At 46.1% G+C, this 24590-nt stretch overlaps 2 long non-coding RNA genes across 3 annotated transcripts in view, besides 1 other annotated feature; both read left to right on the top strand.

Annotated features, from left to right (window-relative positions):
• The window catches only part of LOC105377781 (uncharacterized), a 39852-nt gene extending 25160 nt beyond the window's left edge, over positions 1-14692 (top strand). Inside the window, exons 1-5 of one of the 2 annotated variants that reach the window (XR_941355.3) lie at positions 2188-2357; positions 3115-3357; positions 11099-11179; positions 13593-13823; positions 13902-14692. This is a non-coding gene — a long non-coding RNA (uncharacterized LOC105377781). Of the gene's footprint in view, positions 1-2187; positions 2358-3114; positions 3358-11098; positions 11180-13592; positions 13824-13901 lie in introns of those variants that run through there. The other variant, XR_941356.3, reaches the window with a different exon arrangement.
• Positions 20-200: a silencer, noted in NCBI's record as "fragment chr8:2130059-2130239 (GRCh37/hg19 assembly coordinates)". NCBI's record gives its function as "represses an EF-1alpha promoter that drives an FKBP-Casp9 reporter gene in an ReSE screen in phorbol 12-myristate 13-acetate-treated (for megakaryocytic differentiation) K562 erythroleukemia cells {active_cell/tissue: K562(+PMA)}" and the evidence as "EXISTENCE:reporter gene assay evidence [ECO:0000049][PMID:32094911]".
• Positions 14693-21502: 6810 nt separating the features above from the next.
• LOC105377782 (uncharacterized) lies at positions 21503-24346 on the top strand. The gene is made up of 3 exons (XR_941357.3): positions 21503-21714; positions 22372-22518; positions 23767-24346. It is a non-coding gene; the product is annotated as an uncharacterized LOC105377782 (long non-coding RNA).
• The last annotated feature ends 244 nt before the right edge of the window (positions 24347-24590 follow it).

Consider the following 24590-nt stretch of genomic DNA (forward strand, 5'->3'; position numbering starts at 1 on the left):
GTTATCAGGGGGACACGTGGGGAAGTGATGGCACCGGGTGAGGTTATCAGGGGGACATGTGGGGAAGTGACGGCACCCGGCGAGGTTATCAGGGGGACACGTGGGGAACTGATGGCACCCGGCGAGGTTATCAGGGGGACACGTGGGGAAGTGATGGCACCGGGCGTCGGCCATGGCTTTGGGCATCACGTGGGCACAGCTGCAGCCTGAGAAGTGGGGGTGCCGGCATCCGGCAGGGGCGGCTCTGCAAGCTGTGGCTCCGGGTTGGGGAGGCAAAGTGCTCCCGGCCTCCTGGGAGATTCGGAACATCTGCGTCGTCTTCATACTCCATTCCAGAGGAGTTGCCATCTTGCTGGGTCATGACACACACACACACACACACACACACACACACACACACACACACACACTCTCTCTTACTTTATGCTGACTCAGGTGTTGGTCACAGGCTTTCCCATTCACATCTTCTCATTTGAGGGCCCAAGTTCCTGTGGGTCCACGCTCAGTCCTGCCGGTTCTCTGCCTCCACCTTGCACCTGCCCAGGTGGCCTCTGAGCATTTGGAGGGGTGCATGCAAGGTGCCCTGTCCTGGGTAAAGTGGCTGTGGCTCTCTGGGGCACCCAGTGGATTCCAGCTGGTTTTGGCAGTGGTGTGGCTTGTCTATCCTGGACTGGAGGTGTGCACAGTGGACCCCAGCCCAGGAAGGGGAACTGGGGAACCTGTGGACTTGGCCATCTGCTTCTGCCTCCTAAATGACCCCGTCTTCTCCAGGAGTGGACGGGAGCTGGCAGCAGGTGTCCTCATCCATGCAAAGCCATGGGCAGTTGTGCCCTGATACCTCCTTGGAGAGGAGCAGGGGAGGATGAAGGATGCTCTGTGTGTAGCCCATGCCTGAGACTAAAACAGGTAGAAATCTCACTGAAACCCGAGGAGTCAGATGCCAGGAATTGGTGTCCTCTGTGTTTTCCTTTGTATCGCATGGAGGCGTGGACTCAAGAGGAGGATGAGCCTCGAGCACTGTGGGTGTGGGTGTGGACGAGTCTCCTGCCAATGAAATAGTTGCGCAATCGCAGAGCAAGGGAGACAGGAACGTCAGGGCCAAACATTTCCTCCTGCCAATTTTGGTTTCATGTTCCTCTAAACGCCTTCTTCTCTTTCCCAGGAGCCTCTTTGAAAACTCTGTAAGTCACACATGAGCTTGTTTTGCTGAGAAGGGCACCAAGACCAGCAAGTCTCCTTTATTCATGCAACCAACGTGTTCCGATCCACCCCATCAGGGTCCGTGCTGAGTCCGAGGAAGACACAAAAGTTCAGTCGCTCCCTGTTCTGCCTTTGTGGCTTCACAGAGGAGAATCATGTCACAGTGTGTTGGTGAAAATGAGATGATGTGGGGACACTTTTCTGTCTGAGTCAAATTGCTTAACACCATATATGCAATTCGTGTCTAGTTTTCTCTGCTTTTAAAGGACCACTTTAGAATCTTATGACAACGATGTGTAACCCAGTTCATCGTCACCCTTTGTGGATGGCGATGAGGGCTGGTTTGTTGAAGTGGTAGGGTTGCGACCCAGGTCTCCAAACTCTAGGTTTCTGTGTTTCCCTCCCCAGTCCGTGAAACCCCTCATGCCTGTCGGCTGGGGGAAGATGCCAGTGGCCTCTCCAGAACATCTGAAGGCCAACCTGAGTGGCGCTGGACTCTGTCATCAGAGCAGCCCACAGAGGGCCAGCACGGCTCTTCCACGTGAGATGCCTTGGCTGATCACCACTTCTAGGTTAGCTCAGGACACATGATCACCTAAACCGAGTGCACAGGAGCTGTGGGGAGGTGGACGCAGGCCTTTCCTCTGCGAGGGAGCTGATGGGGACACGCGATCACCTAGACGGAGTGCGCGGGGGCTGTGGGGAGGTGGATGCGGGCCTTTCCTCTGAGAGGGAGCTGATGGTTTTGTGCAGCAGTCACATGTCACTGACCCCACTCCAGATAATGCCACTGCTACGTTCTATTTTAAATACCTTTCCTGTCTTTACCAGAGTTGATTTATGCATATGCATATGTATCCCTATTTCACATCTTACTCTTTACACATTCACAGACTACTCATGTTGGAGGGGCTCCTAGAGACTGAAGTAGTATTTGGGCTCCCATCTGTCTTTCTGCCTGTCCTTCTTTTTTTCCTTTTTCTACAGGTGGGAAACACCCCTTTCCTGACTCCCTGATTCTGAACTGGGCTGTCCATCAACAATGCAAGGTCTGAGTTCCAGGGGTCCGGTGGGCAGGCCACATCGTGCATGTGGTGTGAGGGCCTGAAGGTGCTTCCACAAGACGGATACTCAGAGTCATTTTACTCTGGTTGAAGGTATCTGCGAGGAACAGGGATTACATCCACCTGAGCAGAGTCCAGTGGGCAGCAAGTCTCACTGATACCTTACAGGAGGGACCCCAGGCCTGGGAATGATCGCTGTGTTCAGGGCACTGTGCCACTTGTCTGGGCACTGAGAACACAGCGCAGGTCCCGTGACTCCCATGTGTGATGACAGGGATGTGTAAAGTAACCCGGGAAGCTTGTCAGGTGTAGAGCTGAATTTCACACACACAGAGCATCTACTTTACCACGTTCTCTGATGTGTGACATCATCGGTCTCTGCATGAGTCCTGTGAGGGGCCGAAATTTGGATCCTTGACATATTAACTGTTATTGAATAGGCTGTAAGTGAATCTCATACTTCATTTATGCTTTTAATGTTTCTTTAGTTAGATTCTAAATGCATTTTGCTTTCTCCTGCGCTCTTCCCTGAGACCAGAAAAATTGCCTGTTTTCAATTCTCTGATAAGTGAGTCTTCCCCCATAATGAACTAACAAATATCTTCATTAGTGCTTCTCATTTCCACTTGCAGTTTGCTCAAAATTAAGCAATGCAGTGCTTCTGCAGATGTGCTTTCTAAGCATCTAAAATAGAGACATATAGGAATCAAATTTCCATTTCCCTACAGATTATCTGATTACATAGGATCAAACGCAGCCACTCTCAATGATCCATGCTAATGGGAGCAGGGGTGGCTTGGGAAAATGAAAGCCATTGAGCTCAGAAGCTCTCTTCCCCCATTTATTTCAGCCTTCCCACCCAGCCAGCATTTGACAAGCACCACTAACAAGCAGTGAAATTGACTGGCTGATTCCATCTCTCCATCCTTTCAAACTCGTGCTAATGAGCAGGCGAATCACAAACAGGGAAAAGAGGGAAGAGGCAGGATGCTCGGATAATCCCCCAACTGGAACACCCCTTCTGCAATCATTGCAATCATATGGACATGCACCAGCTGGATTTAAAATCGATTAGAAAGATTGACACCAAAAGGTGCGTTTGGGAGTGGCGTTGGGATGAAGACGGCCTGCTTATTATTATTTTTCTTTCCACAAAATCTCTCTCATTACACGGCAAACACATCGCACTAAACTGGCCATATCTCGGCACCACTGTGTCTGGAAGTCTCACCCTTTAATGCCTTGTTTTGTCTGGTGGCGAGGATTTTCCTCTCCCTCTCGTTGAAATGTTTCTTCTGCCCGTGCTTCTGTAAAATATATATGTGTATATATAGATAATAATAGTCATAATCATAATAATTATTATTATTTTTGAGACGGAGTCTTGCTCTGTCTCCCAGGCTGGAGTGCAGTGGTGCGATCTCGGCTCTCTGCAAGCTCCGCCTCCCGGGTTCACGCCATTCTCCTGCCTCAGCCTCCCGAGTAGCTGGGTCTACAGGTGCCCGCCACCACGCCCGGCTATTTTTTTGTATTTTTAGTAGAGACGGGGTTTCACCGTGTTAGCCAGGATGGTCTCGATCTCCTGACCTCATGATCCGCCTGCCTTGGCCTCCGAAAGTGCTGGGATTACAGTGGTGAGCCACCGTGCCTAGTCGCTTCTGCAGTATTTTAATGTAGGATCTTTTCCTTCTAAACTGTGCACCCTAAATATACTTGATTTCAAAACTCTGTATTTTCATTCTTGGCCTTTTCTTGTGTCTATTTCAGCACTGTGTTAACATTTCCATGTATCTTGTTTCAAGTTGAAGTAAGATTTATCTCTGCTTTAAAAATTTAAATGTAAAAATAGTAGTGGGTTTTTAAATGTAATTTAAATTTAAAATTCAGATTTTCTTATTCTGTTTTTGGCGTGGTATGTGCTATGAGAGAGAAATCAGTAAGTAAGAAGACAGTCATGATCATCAAAAACTACAGAGGGAGAGAATAAATGCCAAGACAGAAATGGGGTTATTGTTGAAGTTTTTTTTTTCTTTTCTTTTTTGGGACGGAGTTTCACTCTTGTTGCCCAGGCTGGAGTGCAGTGGTGCCATCTCAGCTCACTGCAACCTCTGCCTCCCGGGTTCAAGCAATTCTCCTGCCTCAGCCTCTCAAGTAGCCGGGATTGCAGGCATGTGCCACCACACCCGGCTAATTTTTGTATTTTTAGTAAAGACAGGGTTTCACCATGTTCATCAGGCTGGTCTCGAACTCCTGACTTCGGGTGATCTGCCCACCTCAGCCTCTCAAAGTGCTGGGATTACAGGTGTGAGCCACTGCGCCCAGCCTATTGTTGAAATTCTGTATGCAGAACCCAAAAGTCCTCACTTTATTGGTCACATAGCAGACTGCTGGGACTGCACTAGGTTATCACATACATGATCTCATTTAGTTTCCACAGTAACCCAGAAAGTACATGACATTTCAATCCCCATTTCATTGATAAGGAAAAGGCAGCTTTGAGAAGTTCAGTAACTTCCCCAGGGTCTCTTCAGTAGTAAATTCCGCAATCTGATTCCATAAAGGGTGATGACCCTCTGTACTGTTATTTTTTCCTTCTCATTCAAATGTCATGAGAAGGATAGAAAGTGTGAGGGCAAAACCAGCTTTTCAAAAAAGACTTAAAATGTACTTTTTTACATGAGGGAGGCCTAAGTGCTCATGCAGACCTCTTAATGAGTCAGTCAAGAGGATGAGGACAAAGAGACAGGGAGAGGAAGGGGCTTTCGTAGTAAGTTTCTTAAAAAGAAATATGGAGGTGGAGGCGTGACCAGGGGCAGGTGGGGTCGCCAGGTGGTGGCTCAGATGCAGAGGACATGGAGGCATCCTGAGGTGGATGACAAGGCGTGGAGGGATGCGATGCCCCAGAATGCCTCCATGTCCTCTGCACCTGAGCCACACGCTGGAAAGGATGGAGAGAAGATGGAATCAGCCAGTCCGTTCATGTCCTCTGCACCTGAGCCAGACGCTGGAAAGGATGGAGAGAAGATGGAATCAGCCAGTCCGTTCATGTCCTCTGCACCTGAGCTAGACGCTGGAAAGGATGGAGAGAAGATGGAATCAGCCAGTCCGTTCATGTCCTCTGCACCTGAGCCAGACGCTGGAAAGGATGGAGAGAAGATGGAATCAGCCAGTCCGTTCATGTCCTGTGCACCTGAGCCATACGCTGGAAAGGATGGGGAGAAGATGGAATCAGCCAGTCGGTTCATGTCCTCCGCACCTGAGCCGTACGCTGGAAAGGTTGGAGAGAAGATGGAATCAGCCAGTCGGTTCATGTCCTCCGCACCTGAGCCGTACGCTGGAAAGGATGGAGAGAAGATGGAATCAGCCAGTCCGTTTTGCTGCTTGTTAGTGGTGCTTGTCAAATGCTTGCAGGGTGGAAAGGTTGAAATAAATGGGGGAAGAAAGCTTCTGAGCTCACTGGATTTCGTTTTCCCAAGTTATTTATATTCCCACTAGCAGGAGTAATCAAGAGTGGCTGCATTTGTTCCTGCAAGGCATTAATACAATGTTCTTATACCTGTAATAGCAGGTGGAGAGTTTAGAGTGTCTGCTTCTAAGAATCTGAGGAGTGTCTTTTTTGTGATTAGTATGAGCCAAATAGTTCTAGTTGACTTAAGAATATGTTAATGTATCATCTTGATAAAATATTTAATTTGAAAGAAGAGAAATAACGGCAGCTAACTTTTGGCTAAAGTGGTGATCAGGGAAGCGCATCTTGGAAACAATGATTTATACTAAAGTGTTTATTCCAGAAACTCAAAGATAAGTGTCAGGTGGATTTTTGGATTCTTCAGTATACTATCCCGGGTGTGATGAGGAGCACATATAAGGAAATAGAATGGATAAAGAAGAAAAGTGTAGGAATAAAGAGCTAAGGGAATGGGGAAGTTTCAACATCATGGGACTATTGAACTGTAATTCAGAAGACACAGTCAAATAAAACTACAAGTAGAAGCTCGGAGAAAAAGCTGCTGCCTTCTCAGCTGCTACGAGGTGAGGAGTCAGGGATGGGGATTCAATGGACATGTGAATGGCCGTCGTCTCTGTCACCTGGGTGGAAGTTCATAGCATGTCTCTGGTTCTCCATGTGGGGGTCACGCCCTCCACTTTCTCAAGCTATGAGTCACAAGCAATGGCCCATGCTGTGTAGCTCCATTTCTAACCCGGAAGCTTCTGGAACGGAACTGTTCACCTACCATTTTCATATGATGGGATACATTGAAAGGTTTTGGCCGACAGAAGAATTAGCTCAACGCTGTAGTTTGCATAAAGAGCTGCCCTGCACTGTGTTCACAGAGAAGCACTGCTCTTGCACTTTCCTCATGGTGTTTGGTGTTTGCACATGAGACTTAGCTCATGTGGCTAAGCCCATGGGTTTCCAGGCGAAAGAAAAGGCTTATAACTAGCAAGGTGTCCCTAGGGTCTCAAGTGAGGGAGACAGAGCAGAGGGGACTTCTGAAGGCCTGAGGCACCCCTGACTGCTGCATGGTAAAATTTCTAGGGTGAAGCCAGTTTTCCTTTCTGCACAGTGGTCACTGGGGGCAATGAAACCGGATCATCGGGAAGGGATCTGGTCTTCTCTCTGTGTAAATGCTCGTGTAGATGAGATTGAGACTACACTCCTCTCAGTTGTCTGGCCTTTTTGTGCAGCTTGCATTTTCAAAGACTCACTGAAAAAAATAAGAGGCAACGGACTTTGACTTGCTCCCTTCAGTGGTACTTGGTGCAAGTTATAACAACCTGACATATGAATCTAGAGGTTTACAGATGGAGAGTCACTGTTATTTGTCTCTACAAAATTATTTCTTTATCCAGGTCTGCTACTTTATCTGCAAATACATTTAATAATGTTGGCTTGTACTGTTCTTTTTTTTTTTTTTTGACAGAGTCTTGCTCTGTCTCCCAGTCACCCAGGCTGGTGTGCAGTGGTGTGATCTCTGCTCACTGCAGCCTTCACCTCCTGGGTTCAAGTGATTCTCCTGCTTGTATTGTTCTTGTTTTAGCCATTTCATTCACCCCCAAACTGTAGAGTAAATGAATGTTTTCACATAATAGGCATTTAATGAGTGCCTGTTGTATTCCACAGCACTGATTTGACTGACACGTTGCTTTGTTTCGAGACACTAGCACGTGGGTTTTGGAGTCAGACTGATGGTCACCTCTTGGCTTGGCCCTAGTCGGTAGTTTATGCTGGGCAGTTTATTTACTCTTGTGAGCCTCATTTTCCTCACCTGAAACAAAGCAATTATAACAGTTGTGTAATGTATTCGTCTGTTCTCACACTACCTGAGACTGGGTAATTTATGAAGAAAAAAGTTTTAATTGATTCACAGTTACGCTTCAGAACAGCCCATATAAGCTTTACAGCCCAACAGTTTGCTGTGGACTATAATTCTATTGGCTGTTCTGAAGTCGGGGGTGTGTGTGCCATCTAAGTCAAAAGTTTTAATGTGCAAAAGTTGTTCACACCCAGGTTATGGAAAGATAGGAAAGAAAGCTAATGAATCTCATCCTGTGCGGTGGTGTGGTAGCTTAGCCCTCTGGTCCAGGCTGCCTGTTCCCCAGCGTTCCGCAGTATGGGAGCTCTGATCCCAGCTGAGGCCACAATCACACGAGATGTGATTTTGAAAACTCACCATGTTCCCTCCAGATCACACCACTGTTCATTCAGCCCCGCCCCCACGGCCCACAGGCGTGGCTGCATTTCAAATGGCATTATTAAAAAAACTAGACACCTATTTAATTACTTTAAATTCAGTGTTCCCAGTACACGTTCTGGAATTAAACACATCCTGAGACGGGCATTTTTTGCACCTATAAATCAGGTGGATGTCTGGAGATGATTAGTTCTGTTATGCCGCATTGTAGGTAGGAAGTCATTTGCTTCTTTTGTTGTTTTTGATCCATGTTTATCATTCTCTCCAAGTTGAAGTTATTTATCCAAACAGTGCAAGTAAAGAAGTGGGAGGAAGGGAGATTAAAATAAGAAGGATGTTCCTTGCTTTAAAAATGCGGCACTGAGAAAACATCTCAGGAGATGAAGTGGAGCTGCAGAAAGCCTGGGAGGAGGAGGGGCGGATTAGAGCTCCTGGCTGGGGTGGAGAATTTAATGTCTGTTTGTAAACGATGCAGGTTCTAAAAATGATCATTAGCAAGCAATGGTGCTGAAAGGACAAGTAAAAAAGTACCCCCAAATAATATTCATTTAGACAGACCTGAGAACACTGCAGGCCCCCATAGGACAGGGCTTGGTTAAGACTTCAAATGTGAATCGAGGCATGCTTTTAAGATAGTCAACATGGTGGCTTTAGAGATAAGATGGCAACAGCCTTTTTCTTTTTTTCTTTTTTTTTCTTTTTTGAGATGGAGTCTTACTCTGTCACCCAGACTGGAGTGCAGTGGTGCGATCTCGGCTCACTGCAACCTCCACCTCCCAGGTTCAAGCGATTCTCCTGCCTCAGCCTCCTGAGTAGCTGGGACTACAGGCACCTGCCACCATGCCCAGCTAATTTTTGTATTTTTAGTAGAGATGGGGTTTCGCTATGTTGGCCAGGCTTGTCTCTAACTCCTGGCCTCAGGTGATCTGCCTGCCTTGGCCTCCCAAAGTGCTGGGATTACAGGCATGAGCCACCACACCTGGCCAGCAGGCTTTTGACTGAAGCAAAGATTGGAGACTCTGCCAGTTACAGGAGCTGCCATACTCATATCCTTCTTCACAATGCAAATAACTCATAATAGTAGGCCACGTGTCTGCTGTGTTCTTTAATAAATGACTAATGTTTCCTTTACTTATTCTTATGAAAACCATTCCAATTTGCTGATATATTGTAACTTGTGAGGACTGAAGGAGACAATATTGGTCAAACAACAGGACCTTGCCAGGTGAACAGTAGGTCTCGCTTGCTGCAGGGGCCATCAGCTCTGTCTGGGCTCCTTCAGAGGCAGCAACAAATGCAGTAGTCCTCACTCCTTCCTTCCTTCCTTTCCTTCCTCCCTCCCTCTCTCCCTCCTTCTCTCCTCCCTTCCTCCCTCCTTCCCTCCTCCTTTCCTCCCTCCTCCCTTCCTCCCTCCCCTCCCTTTCCCCTCCCTCCCTCCTTCCCTCCCTCCTTCCCTGCCTTCCTTCCTTCGTTCCTCCCTCCCTTCCTCCCTTCCTCCTCCCTTCCTCCTCCTCCCTTCCTCCTCCCTCCCTTCCTCCTCCCTTCCTCCTCCCTCCCTTCCTCCTCCCTCCCTTCCTCCTCCCTCCCTTCCCCCTCCCTTCCTCCCTTCCTCCTCCCTTCCTCCCTTCCCCCTCCCTTCCCCCTCCCTTCCCCCTCCCTTCCTCCTCCCTTCCCCCTCCCTTCCCCCTCCCTTCCCCCCCCTTCCCCCTCCCTTCCTCCTCCCTCCCTCCCTTCCCCCTCCCTTCCTCCTCCCTCCCTCCCTTCCCCCTCCCTTCCCCCTCCCTTCCCCCTCCCTTCCTCCTCCCTTCCCCCTCCCTTCCCCCTCCCTTCCCCCCCCTTCCCCCTCCCTTCCTCCTCCCTCCCTCCCTTCCCCCTCCCTTCCCCCTCCCTTCCCCCTCCCTTCCCCCTCCCTTCCCCCTCCCTTCCCCCCCCTTCCCCCTCCCTTCCCCCTCCCTTCCCCCTCCCTTCCTCCCTTCCTCCTCCCTTCCCCCTCCCTTCCCCCTCCCTTCCCCCTCCCTTCCCCCTCCCTTCCTCCCTTCCTCCTCCCTTCCCCCTCCCTTCCCCCTCCCTCCCTCCTTCCTTCTTTTCTTCCTTCCTGTTTCCTCCCTCCTTTCCTTCCTTCCTTCCTTCCACCTGTGAAGTCTGATTGAGATAAGCCACAACCAGGCAGAGCCCATATTTATTCATTTCTGTATTTATAATGTCTGAGCCAAGCCAGGCACTTGATATACGTTTTTGAATGAATTAATGAGTAACTGATCCTAATTAATAGAAAGCAACCCCAGACACACACACACACACACACAGTATATATATGTATATATGCACATAATGTATATTATATAAATATATGTTATGTGTGTATATTATGCATATTTGTGTATATGTATATATTACTCTATACAAGTCATGGTCAAGTAACAAGGTACAGTGATTAAGAGTTTGGCTGTAGAGTTTGACAAACTGCTAATTAAATTCCTCATCTGTGGCTTTTTAACCCTGTTTCCTCAAACAAGTTACCTTAATACCAGCTCCTTCATTATAAAACAGGGGCAATAATTGTCTCTTGTTTATGAAAGCATATCCACCTCCTAACAGCATGCTTATTTTCCATATTTACCCATGTGCCTGTCTTTCCTCCAACCTTCTAGCCTTTGAGCCCCATGAAGGCAGTACTACGTGTGCTCATTATTTTATTACTGGCACTTAGAACAGAGTTAGGAACTTGGTAATTATTTGTGGAATAAAAGACCACTTAAGGTTGTAGTCAGGTATTTAACGAAGTGCCTGATGTATAGCAAACACTTATCTAATTAAAGTTCAAATTTACTATTATCATGATTAAGAGGTACCATACATCTGGGATACAGAGCAGTGCAGAGAAGGACTTTTATAGATTTTATCACACACAGAAAGTTGAAGGAGGTTGAACTTCAACTGTGGATAAGACTTGAATTAATAGATGAATGGGATTTGTTTGTAATTAACATATTAATTGCTTTTATGTAAAACAGAACTTTTAAAGTGTTTGAAAAGCATTTGCTTTCTTACCTGGAAGTTTGGCCATTGTTTCTGCCATCTTATAATTATTGTTAACTGAATTGCTAAGAAACCATTTTTTCTGTTAAAAATCCTTAGATATTTAAAGGAAAAGTTGCCTGATGTTCTTTCAATTCCTCCACATTATGAAGACTGATTCCAGTTTAAGGAGAATTCTAGGTAAGAAAAATAATTCAATTTTTAATTTTAGACAAGACTATTTCTGAAAAAATCTCTCAGTTCTTAGGTTATATTACCAGTTACACTGTACTGTAATGCGTAGAGTTTAGACTTCATGTAGAGTTTAGACTTCATACACTAATTTCTGATGGGAAGAAGAGGATGACAGCCCTTTAGGGGAAATGAATGATAACATCACTGAGGTTTTCATTAATTTTTAATGAGGCTTGTACATTTCACTCAGAGAGTTAAGCATCACCCAACTCTGGTAAATGTTATACCTCATACACGTCATTCAATCACCTGAGTTTTAAGAGCAAGTTACTATTTTTCATTGTGCACTCTGAAAAATATCTTCTATACAGGGAACAATTAAAACAGTAGGACTATATTAATTATTTGGCTACTTAAAAATGACTCAATTATAATAACAATTTGCTACATGATATATTATACATAGTTCCTATTTTTATTAAAAAACAAGTTACTCCAGCAATTATATGATGAAACTAACCTGTTTATATTTGAGCTGAACATCTTTGGGTGTTTGTTGTTTTGTGCATTTTCTTTAATTCATTTTCTTTTCTTAATTGACATTTTACAACCTGTTTCCTAGATTTCATATTAACTGGTGTTGAATCTGAATCATTTGGTTGATACAGTTAGCAATTTCTTTAATATATTGGAGACATAAAAGATACAGTAGAAGTTTTATAAATTTTTAATTAAAAAATTATTCTACTGTACAAAAGTCCCTTCCAGGCACCAGTCTCTTCAAAGACACACCCGGCTTGTGAAGAGGCTGTGTCCATGCCAGTGGGGCTAAAGATAGGTTCTGGTAGTTTCCTAGAACAGCTGTGTGGCATGCATCGTTCCCAGCTCTGATTTTATTAGGATAAAACTCCCAGGTTTCTGTTGCTGAAAAGTCCTGGAAAAGCCCTGAGGCCTCTGACACCGGCCTCTCACGGTGGCTTTCCTGCAGTGGAGGCTGCAGGGTCGTACTTCTGAGTGACGGGGTCCTCAGCAAGCTACTGATAGAGCTGACCCAGCTGGGAAAACCCCACCCCCACTTGCTTTCCATCAGCAGAGCTGGGAGGCGGTTGTAGAGACAGGACGTGGGGCCTGGGGCTAAGGGCCTGGCTGGGGGTGGATGGGGCCCTGCACCTGTGCCTGGCCCCGCTGCCAGAGCGCTCAGGGGTCAGCCCCGCTGACAGCTCATCCACAGAAGAACTGTGATCTGGAGACACATACTTGAATCTGATTCAGTACGTGGATTCAGACATCAGAATCAGAATCTTGGTGTACTTGAAAACGGCCCCGAGGTAGAGGGCAGCCAGGAGCATGTGGATTCTGGCCACGGCCATGAGCCAGCATACTGAGGAGTTCAGGTGGGTGGGCCGGGCTTTCTCAGCTTTACTGTCCTCATCTGCAAAATTAATCGGTTTGATTACATCTGGAATGTTCAGTCTGCTCCAGTGAGTCCTAGAGTTTCTGAAGAGCCCTCTTTGAGTCTTTCCTGGATGGGTAACCATGGTGAGGAGCGTGGTCTCGGTCGTCCAAGCCCCGACTCAACCAGAGCAAATGTGGATTCATGGCTTTCCCATGTGCTTCTGAGTAAATTCTGATTTGACAAAGATAACCTGCTGCTGAGAAGAATAAAGGATCTGAAAAGTTACCGTACAGCGTGAGTCTCTGACTGAGCCCTCTCAGGATGATCAGCACTGGCTTCCTCTCTTGCTGCCTCTTTATGTAAGACATGCCATCTCAGACGTGGGGACGGCACCCCTGGACCAAGTCCCCATGCCTCCACGGAGTCAAAACACAGACCTTTCCTGCTGCACACTCACTTAGGAGCACCAATAATCCAGAAGCACTTCCAGAAATAAAGGTGGAAAATGATTCTAGACAGTGCTTCATATTCTATAGCTTGAAATTTCTTAAAAGAGGCAATAACACTTACCAATTTGTAAAATATGGAAAAAAATTCCATTTCATAAAAATGATATTAGTGTAACACTGACAATGGCGATGACACAGTCACAAATCACCCCTGTCCCATCAGAACTATTCCCTTTCTGCTTCAGGCTTTTTGAAGGTGTTATAAAAATAAACATTTAAATAAAACAAGATTAAATTCCTGCAGGAAAAGACCATTACTTTTAATGAGATTCCTTGAAATGAAGAACTATAGCTTAATTGATTAAAAAAGATTAATAGGTAATTATTTGCTTAGGAACAAAAATAATCAAAATAAAAAACACCTGCAGTTGCTCATCAAGAGCAGGAATCCAGAGAGAGAAAATTTTCACCCTGGCTTTAGTCTTATAAAGGTGCTCATTCTCGCATTGGACCAAAACGTCGAGAGACATGGATCTGAGTCTTGGTTTTGTAATTATTTCTCTTGTGACTGCAGGAATCTTCCTTCAACTTTCTGGTCCTGAAAGACCAGGTCCATAAAAGGATGTGGTTGGAGCAGATAATCTGCAGCAGCTCTGGTGTGCCTGAAACTGTCAGCAGTTAAACCGCTCCTGTTCCTTTTTGAGATCTTAATCAGAAATGAATATGCATCAAAGACACCCCAGAGCGAGACCCTCTTCCGTGTTATTTCTACTGAATGAGAGGCAGGAACTGCATCAGTGTTTTGGTATGTACTTTTCACGTAGTGTTTTTGATGGTAATCCTGGTGGAAAAACACAGTAACCCTTCTTCCCTTAACTTACAGCATGTCGTGAACTATGGCCATGAGACTAGAGTCCCCAGGATGACACTCCACCATCTGACTCATGCTGAGGGCTCACACTGGCCCCTGATATTATTTCTGAAGCCCTAACACTGAACGTAAAAACCTGGGAGAGAACTGTACGGAAGGACTCCAGGATCCTGATAGCCCCCATGGAACAGGGCTTCGTGGATTCAGGCGTCAGAATCAAGCCTAGAGAGAGGAGATGTTTACCGCTCATGGCAGAGTGAGGCCTCGCGGTGAATGGAAAGCATGGCTGGGCACAGGGGTGGTCCTGATGGAGGGGCCAGAGGCTGATGATGGCGTGGAGGCCCTGACACAGGGCAGCCCCGCCAGCCTCTGCATGGCCGGGGGAGTTACACCCTTGAGGACGGGTTCCAGGAATAAGATGTGTGATATGCAGAAGACAACAGGGCCTTTGTGTGGAAAGGCATCCGTGAATTAACACCAATGGCGGAGAGCAGGCAGTAGGGAAGCGGCCGCGGTGGGCGCTGTTCCGCACCCCATGTGGTCTGGCTTGCACGGCCAGGGCAGCCCAGGCGTCGGCCTCCTGTTTCTCTCCTGCCATGATCCTCTTTCTACCCCCAAAGCTCTTACCTGGCCCCTGTATCCAAGCCTTCCTCGGGTACTGCCCTGGCCAGGAGAGAAGAAAGCACCCAGCCTCCTGGTCAGTGTTCCGCTGAAGCATTGTATGAGTCCGGGTTCTCTAGAGGGACAGGACTAATGGGATAGGTGTATACATGAAGGGGAGTTTATTAAGGAGAATTGACTCAGGATCACTAGGTGAGGTCCCACAATAGGCCGTCTGCAAGCTGAGAAGCCTGGAAGCCAGTCCGAGTCCCAAAACCTTAGAAATAGGGAAGCCGGCAGTGCAGCCTTCGGTCTGTGGCCAAAGGCCTGAGAGCCCCTGGCAAACCACTGGTGTGAGTCCGAGAGTCCAAAAGCTGAAGAACTTGGAGTCTGATGTTCAAGGGCAGGAAGCATCCAGCCCGGGAGAAAGATGGAGGCTGGAAGACTCAGCCAGTCCAGTCCTTCCACCTTCCTCTGCCTGCTTCTATCCTAGCCGTGCTGGCAGCTGAATAGATGGTGCCCACCCAGATTGAGGGTGGGTCTGCCTCTCCCAGCCCACTGACTCCAGTGTTAATCTCCTTTGGCAACACCCTCACAGACACACCCAGGACAATACTTTGCATCCTTCAATCCAATCAGGTTGACAATCCATATTAAGTATCACGAGCAAGTTCTGTGGAGGGCAGAAGCTCCCGTCTGACAGGTCAGAGGCTGCTGCAGCCACAGAGGCTGGTGGGGGCCACCATGCTGCCCTCATGTGTGTATGTGGGGACAATTGGGCAGCCTCTGTTTGCTCGCCCTACTCACAATCTGAGTGTGCAGTTTACCACCAAGTATGGGTCAAAATCCCAGGATTACAGTTGGACTTTGTTTAATTTAAAAGACTTGTTTTATTGGTCAGAGTTCCCCAGAGAAACAGAACCAATAGGATCTGTATCTCTATGTATGTCTATATCTACACCTATGTTTGTCTGTATCTATATCTGTGTCTTTATCTATATCTCTCTGTATCTATATATCAATATCTAGATCTATCTGTGTCTGTATCTAGACCTATCTGTGTATCTATATCCATTTGTGTCTATATCTACACCTATCTGTATCTATAGCTATCTGTGTCTCTATCTATACCTATCTGTATCTATATCTATACCTATCTGTGTCTATATCTTACCTGTCTATCTATATCTATACCTATCTCTGTCTGTATCTATCTCTATCTGTGTCTGTAGCTATACCTATCTGTATCTATATCTATATCTATCTTTATCTATCTATATATACCTATCTATCTTTATCTATATCCATACCTGTTTGTATCTATATCTACACCTGTCTGTATCTGTATCTATCTCTGTCTGCATCGATACCTATCTGTATCTGTATCTATATCTATACCTATCTGTATATCTATTTATAACTATCTGTATCTATGCCTATTATCTGTATCTATATCTATACGTATCTGTATCTGTATCTATATATCTAAAGAGATTTATTGCAAGGAATTTGCTCACCTGATTATGGAGGCTGACACATCCTGAGACCTGCAGTCAATGGGCTGGGCTGGAGACCGGGGAGGTGAAGGTGTGAGTTTCAGTCTGAAGGCTGGCAGGCACCAGACCCAGGAAGAGCCAACACTTCAGTTCAAATCAAAAGGCAGAAAAGCCCCAGTGTCCCAGCTCACAGTATCAAGTAGGAGGAATTCCCTGGCTGGCTCTGGGGTTGCACAAGCAGCTTATTCGTTGGGATTTGCTTTGTTTTATTTTTAAATTAATTTTTTTTTTGAGACAGGGTCTTACTCTGTCATCCAGACTGGAGTGCAGTGGCACAATCTTGGCTCAATGCAGCCTCGGCTTCCTGGGCTCAAGTGATCCCTCTGCCTCAGCCTCCCAAGTTGCTGGGACCACAGGCACCTGCCTTTACGCCCTTCTTGTGCTGGGATTTCGGGTGTGAGCCTCCACACTGGCCCTGTTTCTCACGATGGGATTTCAGCTATGAGCCTCCACGCCTGGCCCTGTTTCTCACGCTGGGATTTTGGGTGTGAGTCCCCTTGCCCGGCCCTGTTTCTTGTGCTGGGATTTCGGGTGTAAGCCCCGGCGCCCAGCCCTGTTTCTTGTGCTGGGATTTCGGGTCTGAGCCCCTGCACCTGGCCTTGTTTCTCTGGCTGCCTCCCTTTCTCAGACTCCTGTAGTGGTGTTTCCGTCCAACACCTGTGTTTTACAGCATGTGGGTTTTTTTCTCCTCTCTGCCATCAATATGCAAAGTGCTGAGGTTGCACTCTTAAGCCCTGTGAAAAGGACTTTGCTATTGTTACTGGACAATTTTTCTTCATGTGACTTCCAATTTCTTGGAAATCGGTAGGTGCTTTTCCTCACCCAACTGGGGTTTTCCATTTCCGTCTCCTGGATCTAGATGGCTCTGCTCTTTTATCAGCAGAGAGCACTGGTTCCCGCGCCTTCAGAGGGGACTGTTTTAGAGCCTCCAGCTCTGTCGTGTGGCTGTGCCAGTAACCCCGGAAAGGCTTACACCCTAGTGTAGTAATAGAACACGGATCCGTTATGTGTCTCACTACACATGCATTAACTGGAAAATCCAAAGGCATTTTACATAATCTGAAGTTCAGTCAAGTCAGCGGGGTGTTTGAGAAGAGGAAGGCGACTTCCTGACGCCTGTCGTGATATGAACCAAGTAGTTTCATCCGGAGTGGAATCTGGCTTGGTTCTGGCCTTTGAATTTTTCCAAGCCAGATCACTGGTATACCTAACTATAACCCTGCATAGTAACTTTTGGCTGAATGGATGGTTTCCGGTGCAGTAATAGCTGAGTTTCTGTCAATATGCACTGTCTATTCTGTGAGAATGTTAAAGTATCTGAATTTCAAAGGCACGTGCAGAGGTACAAGGGCCGCGCCTGTGAGAACACCGAGCAGCACTGCATGATGGCTGGAGGCTGGGGAGCCACTTTCCTTCCCTCACGCATCCGCCTCCACGCAAGCCTGCTCTCCGCCGTGGGAAATCAGACAGCTGGGCTGACAGCCTGCATTCGGGATGCAGTGGAGGTGATGGACAGCCGGCCCCGGGAGGGGTGAATACTCTGTCCACTGTGCCCCCAGGCCAGAGCCTCGCATGGTGATGAATAGAGTCGTACTGACGTGGAAAATCAGATACTCAGCACCTTTCCTTCAAGACAGATAGGGGAAAAGCTGAGGAAACAGAAAAAAAAAAAATGGAAAAGAAGAAGTGGTCAAGAAAGGGCTGCAAACACACAAAGAGATGATTTTTTAAAGAGAAAAGGAAAATAACAAACCAGATGCTGACATGGTACTCCAGTTCCAATATCCTATTTATTATCATGCATTCAACTCCTCAGGTATTTAATGACAAGCTACTCATAGCTTGTCTCAGAGCACCAGGAATTCTGAGTCACAGTCGGGGTGTAAAGCGGGGCCCTGCATTCAGGGAGCTGAGTCTGACTGGGAACTGGAAAGGCTCCCCTACCTCCCATGACCGTCTGTGAGCTTCACCTGTGAGTGGCAGGTGCGCGTGGAGTCAGTTCCCCTCCATGCCCGCCTGCATTCCTACCCGGAGACCTCCGGCCGCGGTGGGAATTGCCCTGCTGTTTTCATTACTGCAGGTTTTTCTTCTGTATTTCTGAACCCCTCATATCTCAGGGAAGGAAATCCAGGGAGAAGTATCTGTTGCGTCCCCATCTGTTGCATTTTCTGAGTCTCCACGTTAATGAAAGAGCAGCCATCCAGTTTCCTGCAGTGCCGAGAGTCCTCGGGACCTGTCGTTGTTCTAAAGGACAGAGGACACTGTTCAGATGTGACGTCTGTCGCCATTTCTGTCTCCTCTTAGCAAACTTTAAAGCCCGGAAAACCTTCTATTTTCAAAGTCGGAAAATTAGATTACAGCAAAGCCATAACCCTGTATCTCTCCTAACCTTGCTCCCTAATCAGGAATAAAAGGGAAATTATCTGAAGAATTATCTAATATGTTCTTCATCAGGAGATCATAATTAAATCATAATTGCCATCCGGCAGCAAAATGTGATGAAATTACCAGGGCAAACTATTAATTACTTCAAAGATCCATTTTAATCGTAAACAGTTTAATATACCTCTATAAAAATTGCCATCAGGCAGGCGCTTAATGAGGGAGCTGTGAAGGCTCTGCTGTCCTTGGTGACTGGAGGATGTTTTCACGAGATCTTCACGGTTATTTTCCATTTCCAGTTCCTTAGGCCTGGCTCTTACATTCTCTAATACTATGGGGAGTAGAAATTTCTGCGTCCTCCTGGGTGGAGTGTGTGAGTGTGTGCATACATATGTGTTTATATGTGTGTGTGTGCACTGTGTAGGTGATATGCGTGTGTGTGCGTGCATGTGTATGTGTGTATATGTATGAGTGTGTGCTAGTGTGTGCATTTGTATATGCATGTGTGTATGCATGGGAATGTGTGTATGTGTGTGCATATTTATAGGTGTGTCTCTGTGCATGTGTATGTGCGTATGCATGTGTGTTTATATGAGTGCATGTGCATTGTGTACATAGGTACATGTATGTGTGTCCATGTGCATGCTATATTTATGTGTACATGTTATGCAATGTGCAGGTGTGTATGTGTGTACATATGTACATGTGTGTACATGTGCATGTGTATATATGCAGGTATGTATGTATATGTGTACATATGTACATGTGTTTATGTCTATGTGTGTGCATGTGTGTCTGTGTGTGCATGAGTATATACATGTGCATGTATATTTGTGTACATATGTACATATGTGCGCACATGTGTTTGTGTCTGTGTGCATGTTGTGTGTGTGCAGGTGGGCCGTTGCTTTGTAGTTTTGTGGGGGCTAAACAAAGGATGTGCATGATGCTGTCCATGTGTGCATGTGTATATGTGTGCATGTGTGTTTGTGTACGTATGTACATGTATGTGTGTGCATGTGTTTGTGTCTCTCTCTGTGTGTATGTTGTGTGTGTGCATTCGCGTGTATATGTGTGCATGTGTGTTTGTGTGTGTATGTATGTGTATTTGCTACGAGTGGTATCTTGAAGAAATGGGATTGTGAGGATGAAAGGGAAGAGTTTGTGTTCGCAGCCACACATAAACTCACAGAATAGCTTCTGATGGAGCACAGTAAATTTTGGAATTAGGTATGAGGAAGCATCTTTGGTCATTCTTAGTTCTTTGAGATATTTTTCATTTAAATGAAAACGTATGCCTTTTTCTAGATCTTGATGCAAACAGTTGCATCAAAGTGGAGCTTGTGAGTAAGAATGCAGATAGAAAATCATGGGAATTATTCACGTGGATGACCTGATTTTATTCTAGTCTTACTTATGAAGTCTTCTTCCTGCTCCACAACGATTGAAGAGACAGGAAACAAACTTTTAAAATTACGTAAATAAACGGGCCAAGGGGAAATACAAGAGGACAAGCAAAGACAGACACAGCTTTGCACTGCACTCGTGGCTTATCTCACCATGGACGCCAAATTCAAACCTGTTGGCGACTCATCACACTGGACTGACGGCACAAAGGTTCTTGGGAAATAGAATCATGTTCAGCATCAAGTAGGAAAAAAGTCACAAGTACTTGCAGACAAGCCAATCAAAATTGAAGGAAAAATAGAATCAGCACCTAGTGTAAATTAACTTCAGAAATATGCAGTCAGGACTGTCCTTGCGGACTTGCATTCTAGCTTCTGAGCTGAAATTTGTGTCATTAAACTGATATCTAGATGATGTACATTTCTTGACTTACTACAATTCAAAAAAAATGAAACAAATTACATGAACACAGTGGCTATCATTTCCCCCTTGTGAATGGCATAGTACCAGTCTATACAATTTTGGATGTTGTCTTTCTGTTGACTGTTAGTTACTTTAGACTACAAATCTCAGAACATTTAAATAATGATTTGTTACATTACTCTAAACCTAATTATTTTATATTCACTCACACCATCCCCTCTGTTGGTTCTGAAATAAACTATTCAAAGGAGTGCAGAGCCAGTGGGTGTAGAGAATTATGTTTTATTAATTGGAAGCATTCTAACAGTAACCATATTGACTGATCACATGCCCAATATTCTCTTTTTGACCAACTTTGCTGCTGTCAAGAAAAGAAGGATAATATTGTACAGTAATTCAATGCTAATAATTTATCAGTTCCACTATTTTGTAGGTATTAATATCAAAAGCTGGTTGTTGGAAAGTCGAACAATGTAGCAAGGGCTCCCAGATGTGCCATTTCTATCTTCCTGTGTGTGATTGGATCTCAGCTCTACAATGTGTTCTGTGCTGTGTGGGAAATTTACACAATCCCACTGGTTGCGGGGTTCTGGGGGTCAGTTGATTAATGGGGTGCTGAAAATGAGATCGTTCCACCACACTGCAGGCAGGAAGAAGCATTTGTCATCCCAGATGATTTTCTGGAATACTTGGCAGCATTGTCAACTCCAGATTGGAAAGCAATGAACAACTCCATTCAGGCAGCACCTCCCAGGGCTCAAGAGGAGAGGTTTAGTCCCACTTAGCAGGTAACAATTGCCAGCCAAGCCGCTGGATTACGATAAAGGAGGCATAGCTGGTAAAAGAGTAAGAAGTCAAAAACCAGCTCTAAGCTGGGAACTTGCAGCAGAAACTGACTGTAGCAAACGCGTGTTTTCTTCTGTGATGTGTGTGTGCACTTGCCACTCATCTGTGTCCAAATCCTCTCTTCTCCTGCCAGGTCTGGGCTTCCCTCTTCCTGCTGAGCTCTGTGCCCTGCAGGGCTGGTCTCCTGGTGCAGCATCGGAGGGGTCCCCTCGGTGGTCTGGTCCTTATCAGGTTCTGCCACCCGAAGGCTCTGGCAGGACCCGAGAGGGAGGGAGGGCAAAGGATCAGACGTGGATGCCCAGATCTTTGGCTCCGGCTGCAGGTTGGTGGTGCTGCACTTCCCGTGCACGGGCGTGGCTTTGCTCAGGAGCCTTTCGTGCGGTCTGTGTCTCCCTTGCCACTCTTGCCCAGGTAGTCATGGTTCCTAATGCGGGGCTCTGCTCTGCCACTCAGTGGATGCCCTTGACCCCTCCCCCCGCCGTGGCTTTTCCCAGAGCCCATCCTCACACCTGCCTGAGCCCCTTTTCCGAGGGCACCTGTTTCCTGCCAGGACCTGGGCTGTGGTCCATGATCCCTCACTTCCTATTGCGCATTTGGATGTGCTGTTGAGGGTGAGTTTTTAAATTCCTCCCGCAGGTGATGTGCTGTCCAGGTGGCCTTGTGACCACCTGGACAGGGAGTGAATGGCTCAGAGAAGACGGCAGTGGCTGAGGAGCTGGTCAGGAGGGAGGGAGATTTGTTTGTGTAGGGACAGGTGTGCTACGCTGGGGCGGGTGGACTCTCCCTTCTTAGTTTTGTGGGGGTTAAACAGAGGATGTGCATGATGCTGAGCACTCCAAGGAGAGGGGGCTGTGGCCGGGGTGCACGGCTTGCCCCTAGTCACACAGACCTGCTGCAGCCTGGCTTTCTGTGCCATAGAAACAAGGAGGCTCAGAGGCCACGTTGGCTCTTTAGGTGGCAGGGGAGGCGCCACTGCAGGGCTGGTGTCTGCACCGTGCCCTGTGAGAAGGAGACTTGGGCCCGGGGTGGCTCTGCAGCCAGGCACGGTGGGGCCACCCCACAGTTTCACACTGACTGCACCTTCTCCAGTTTCCTGGTCGTGGCAGAGACAGGAGTGGCTCCGAGAGGCATTCTATTCCCGTGATTTGGGCCGTGTACCCGGTCAGTTAGCCAAAACTGGGCTCCTTACAGATTCTTAGAATGCTAGGGGTCATGTGCTCATCCTAGGTGAGACAGAATCCAACGCCTGCAACTTTCATCTTTGACAGGTCCTACGCCTACTCTTAACTTCTGCCTACAATCAAACCCAAAGGTTAAAAGCTTTGAACTTTTCCTACTCTCAAAATTGTACCAGCTATTCATATATTCGTCAGCCCAGTTTTTGGCAAAGGTGATTTAAATTTGCTGTTTAAAAGGTAAATACTCTCATGCAATTCAAAAACCAATAATATAATACAATAAATAGTAAACACTCTTCCTGTTCTTCATTTCCAGAGAGAATAAATGTAGCCTTTGAAAGACATTTTTAATCTATTCATGCAGGTGTGTGTGTGCACAATTCATTTAACAAATCGTCGCAGGACACTTATGATGTGCCATGCACAGTGCAAAGCAATTTAAAGTCTAACCTTTTTTAATTCTCATAATAACTACATTAGGTCCTCATCCTTTGTATGAACTTAGGGGCCAGATATATTTTAGAATTCAGAACTTCCTTTGATGAATGGGCCATATACAACACCCCAACAACTTCTGGGGTAGCACTCATAATTAAAGACATTAATATTTTTGCAGGAAACTGAATGAGAATTCCTAGTCAGTAAGATAAATGAAGAAGGTAGTTTTATGTCCATAAAGGCATGATTTTGTCACTGAATGCTCAAAAAAGCCACGTTTAGTTCTCAGAGCTGTAAATAACGGACTTGGGGCTTGTAACTCTTCATTTTAAAGATAAGAAATTGAATCACAGGAGTTTATGAACCATGCTCAAGGCCACACAACTAGTAAGAGAAAGAATTGGGGTTTGAACCCAGGCTGTCTGATTTAAGACTATCTATCTATCTATCTATCTATCTATCTATCTATCTATCTAACTATCTAGCTATTTATCTATCATCTATCATCTATCTACTCTATCTCCTCTACTATCTATTTTTCTGTATATACATGTATAAATGTTTTCCTGTTTTAATCAAGATTTTACAGTGATACACACACTATTCTGCACCATGCTTTTAAAACGTAGCACTTGGCTGGGCGTGGTGGCTCACGCCTGTAATCCCAGCACTTTGGGAGGCCAAGTCAGGCAGATCACAAGGTCAGGAGTTCAAGACCAGCCTGGGCAATGTGGTGAAACCCTGTCTCTAATAAATACAAAAATTATCCGGGCATGGTGGCACATGCCTGTAATCCCAGCTACTCTGGAGGCTGAGGCAGGAGAATCACTTGAAGTCAGGAGGTGAAGGTTGCAGTGAGCCAAGATCGTGCCACTGCACTCCAGCTTGGGCAACAGACACAGAGAGACTTCATCTAAAAACAAACAAAGCCAAAAAACCATAGCACTTTATTTTAAGGATATTTCTACTTTAATCCATAAATGGTTTCTAGTTCTTGTATTAATGGCGACATCATGTTCCATGTTTTCATGAACTGTGATTTATCAGAGAAGCCCTTGCAACGGTGATCTAGGTTGTGTCATCGCTTCTGCGTAACAGCAAGGCAAAGCTGCGGATTTATCGCCGTTCTACCCAGGTTTCCTGTTGATTACGGCAGGGTTTGAGGTGCGGTCCCTGGTGTTTCATCATGACAAGTGGAGGTTTGCAGGAGAACTTCATAACCATCTGCAGAAAAGGTGAAGTCACATCTTGAGACCAGCTCTAGATATGTTACCGATGGGCTAATGGTTTTGATGTAAAATAAGTAAAAACATTAAAGGGCTAGAAGAAGCCAGAGGAAAAGTCATTTAGAGGGTTGTAGTGTGAAAGTCTTTCTAACTGCAACACAAAATCCTGAAGCTACAAATTAATAGATTATATTAATAGATTATAAATTAACCTAAATAATGATATTGACAAATACCTAAGATAAGAATTCTCCATGGAAATGCCCATCATGGAAAACAACAAGTGGGGGAAATGTTGAAATCCTGTCAGAGAGAAAGAGCTAATTCAGGATATGGATGGAATTAACAAAACATCATCAATAAGACTTTTTTTTTTTGAGTCAGAATCTCACTCCATCGCCTAGGCTAGAGTGCAGTGGTCCAATCTCAGCTCACTGCAACTGCCTCCCAGTTTCAAGCGATTCCCCTGCCTCAGCCACCCGACTAGCTGGGACTACAGGCACCTGCCATCATGCCCGGCTAATTTTCATATTTTTAGTAGATAAAGGGTTTCACCATGTTGGCCAGGCTGGTCTTGAACTGCTGACCTCAAGTGATCCTCCCGCCTCGGCCTCCCAAAGTGCTGGGAGTACAAGCGTGAGCTAC

The sequence above is a fragment of the Homo sapiens genome, chromosome 8 (genome assembly GCF_000001405.40).
Source record: "Homo sapiens chromosome 8, GRCh38.p14 Primary Assembly".
NCBI lineage: Eukaryota > Metazoa > Chordata > Mammalia > Primates > Hominidae > Homo > Homo sapiens.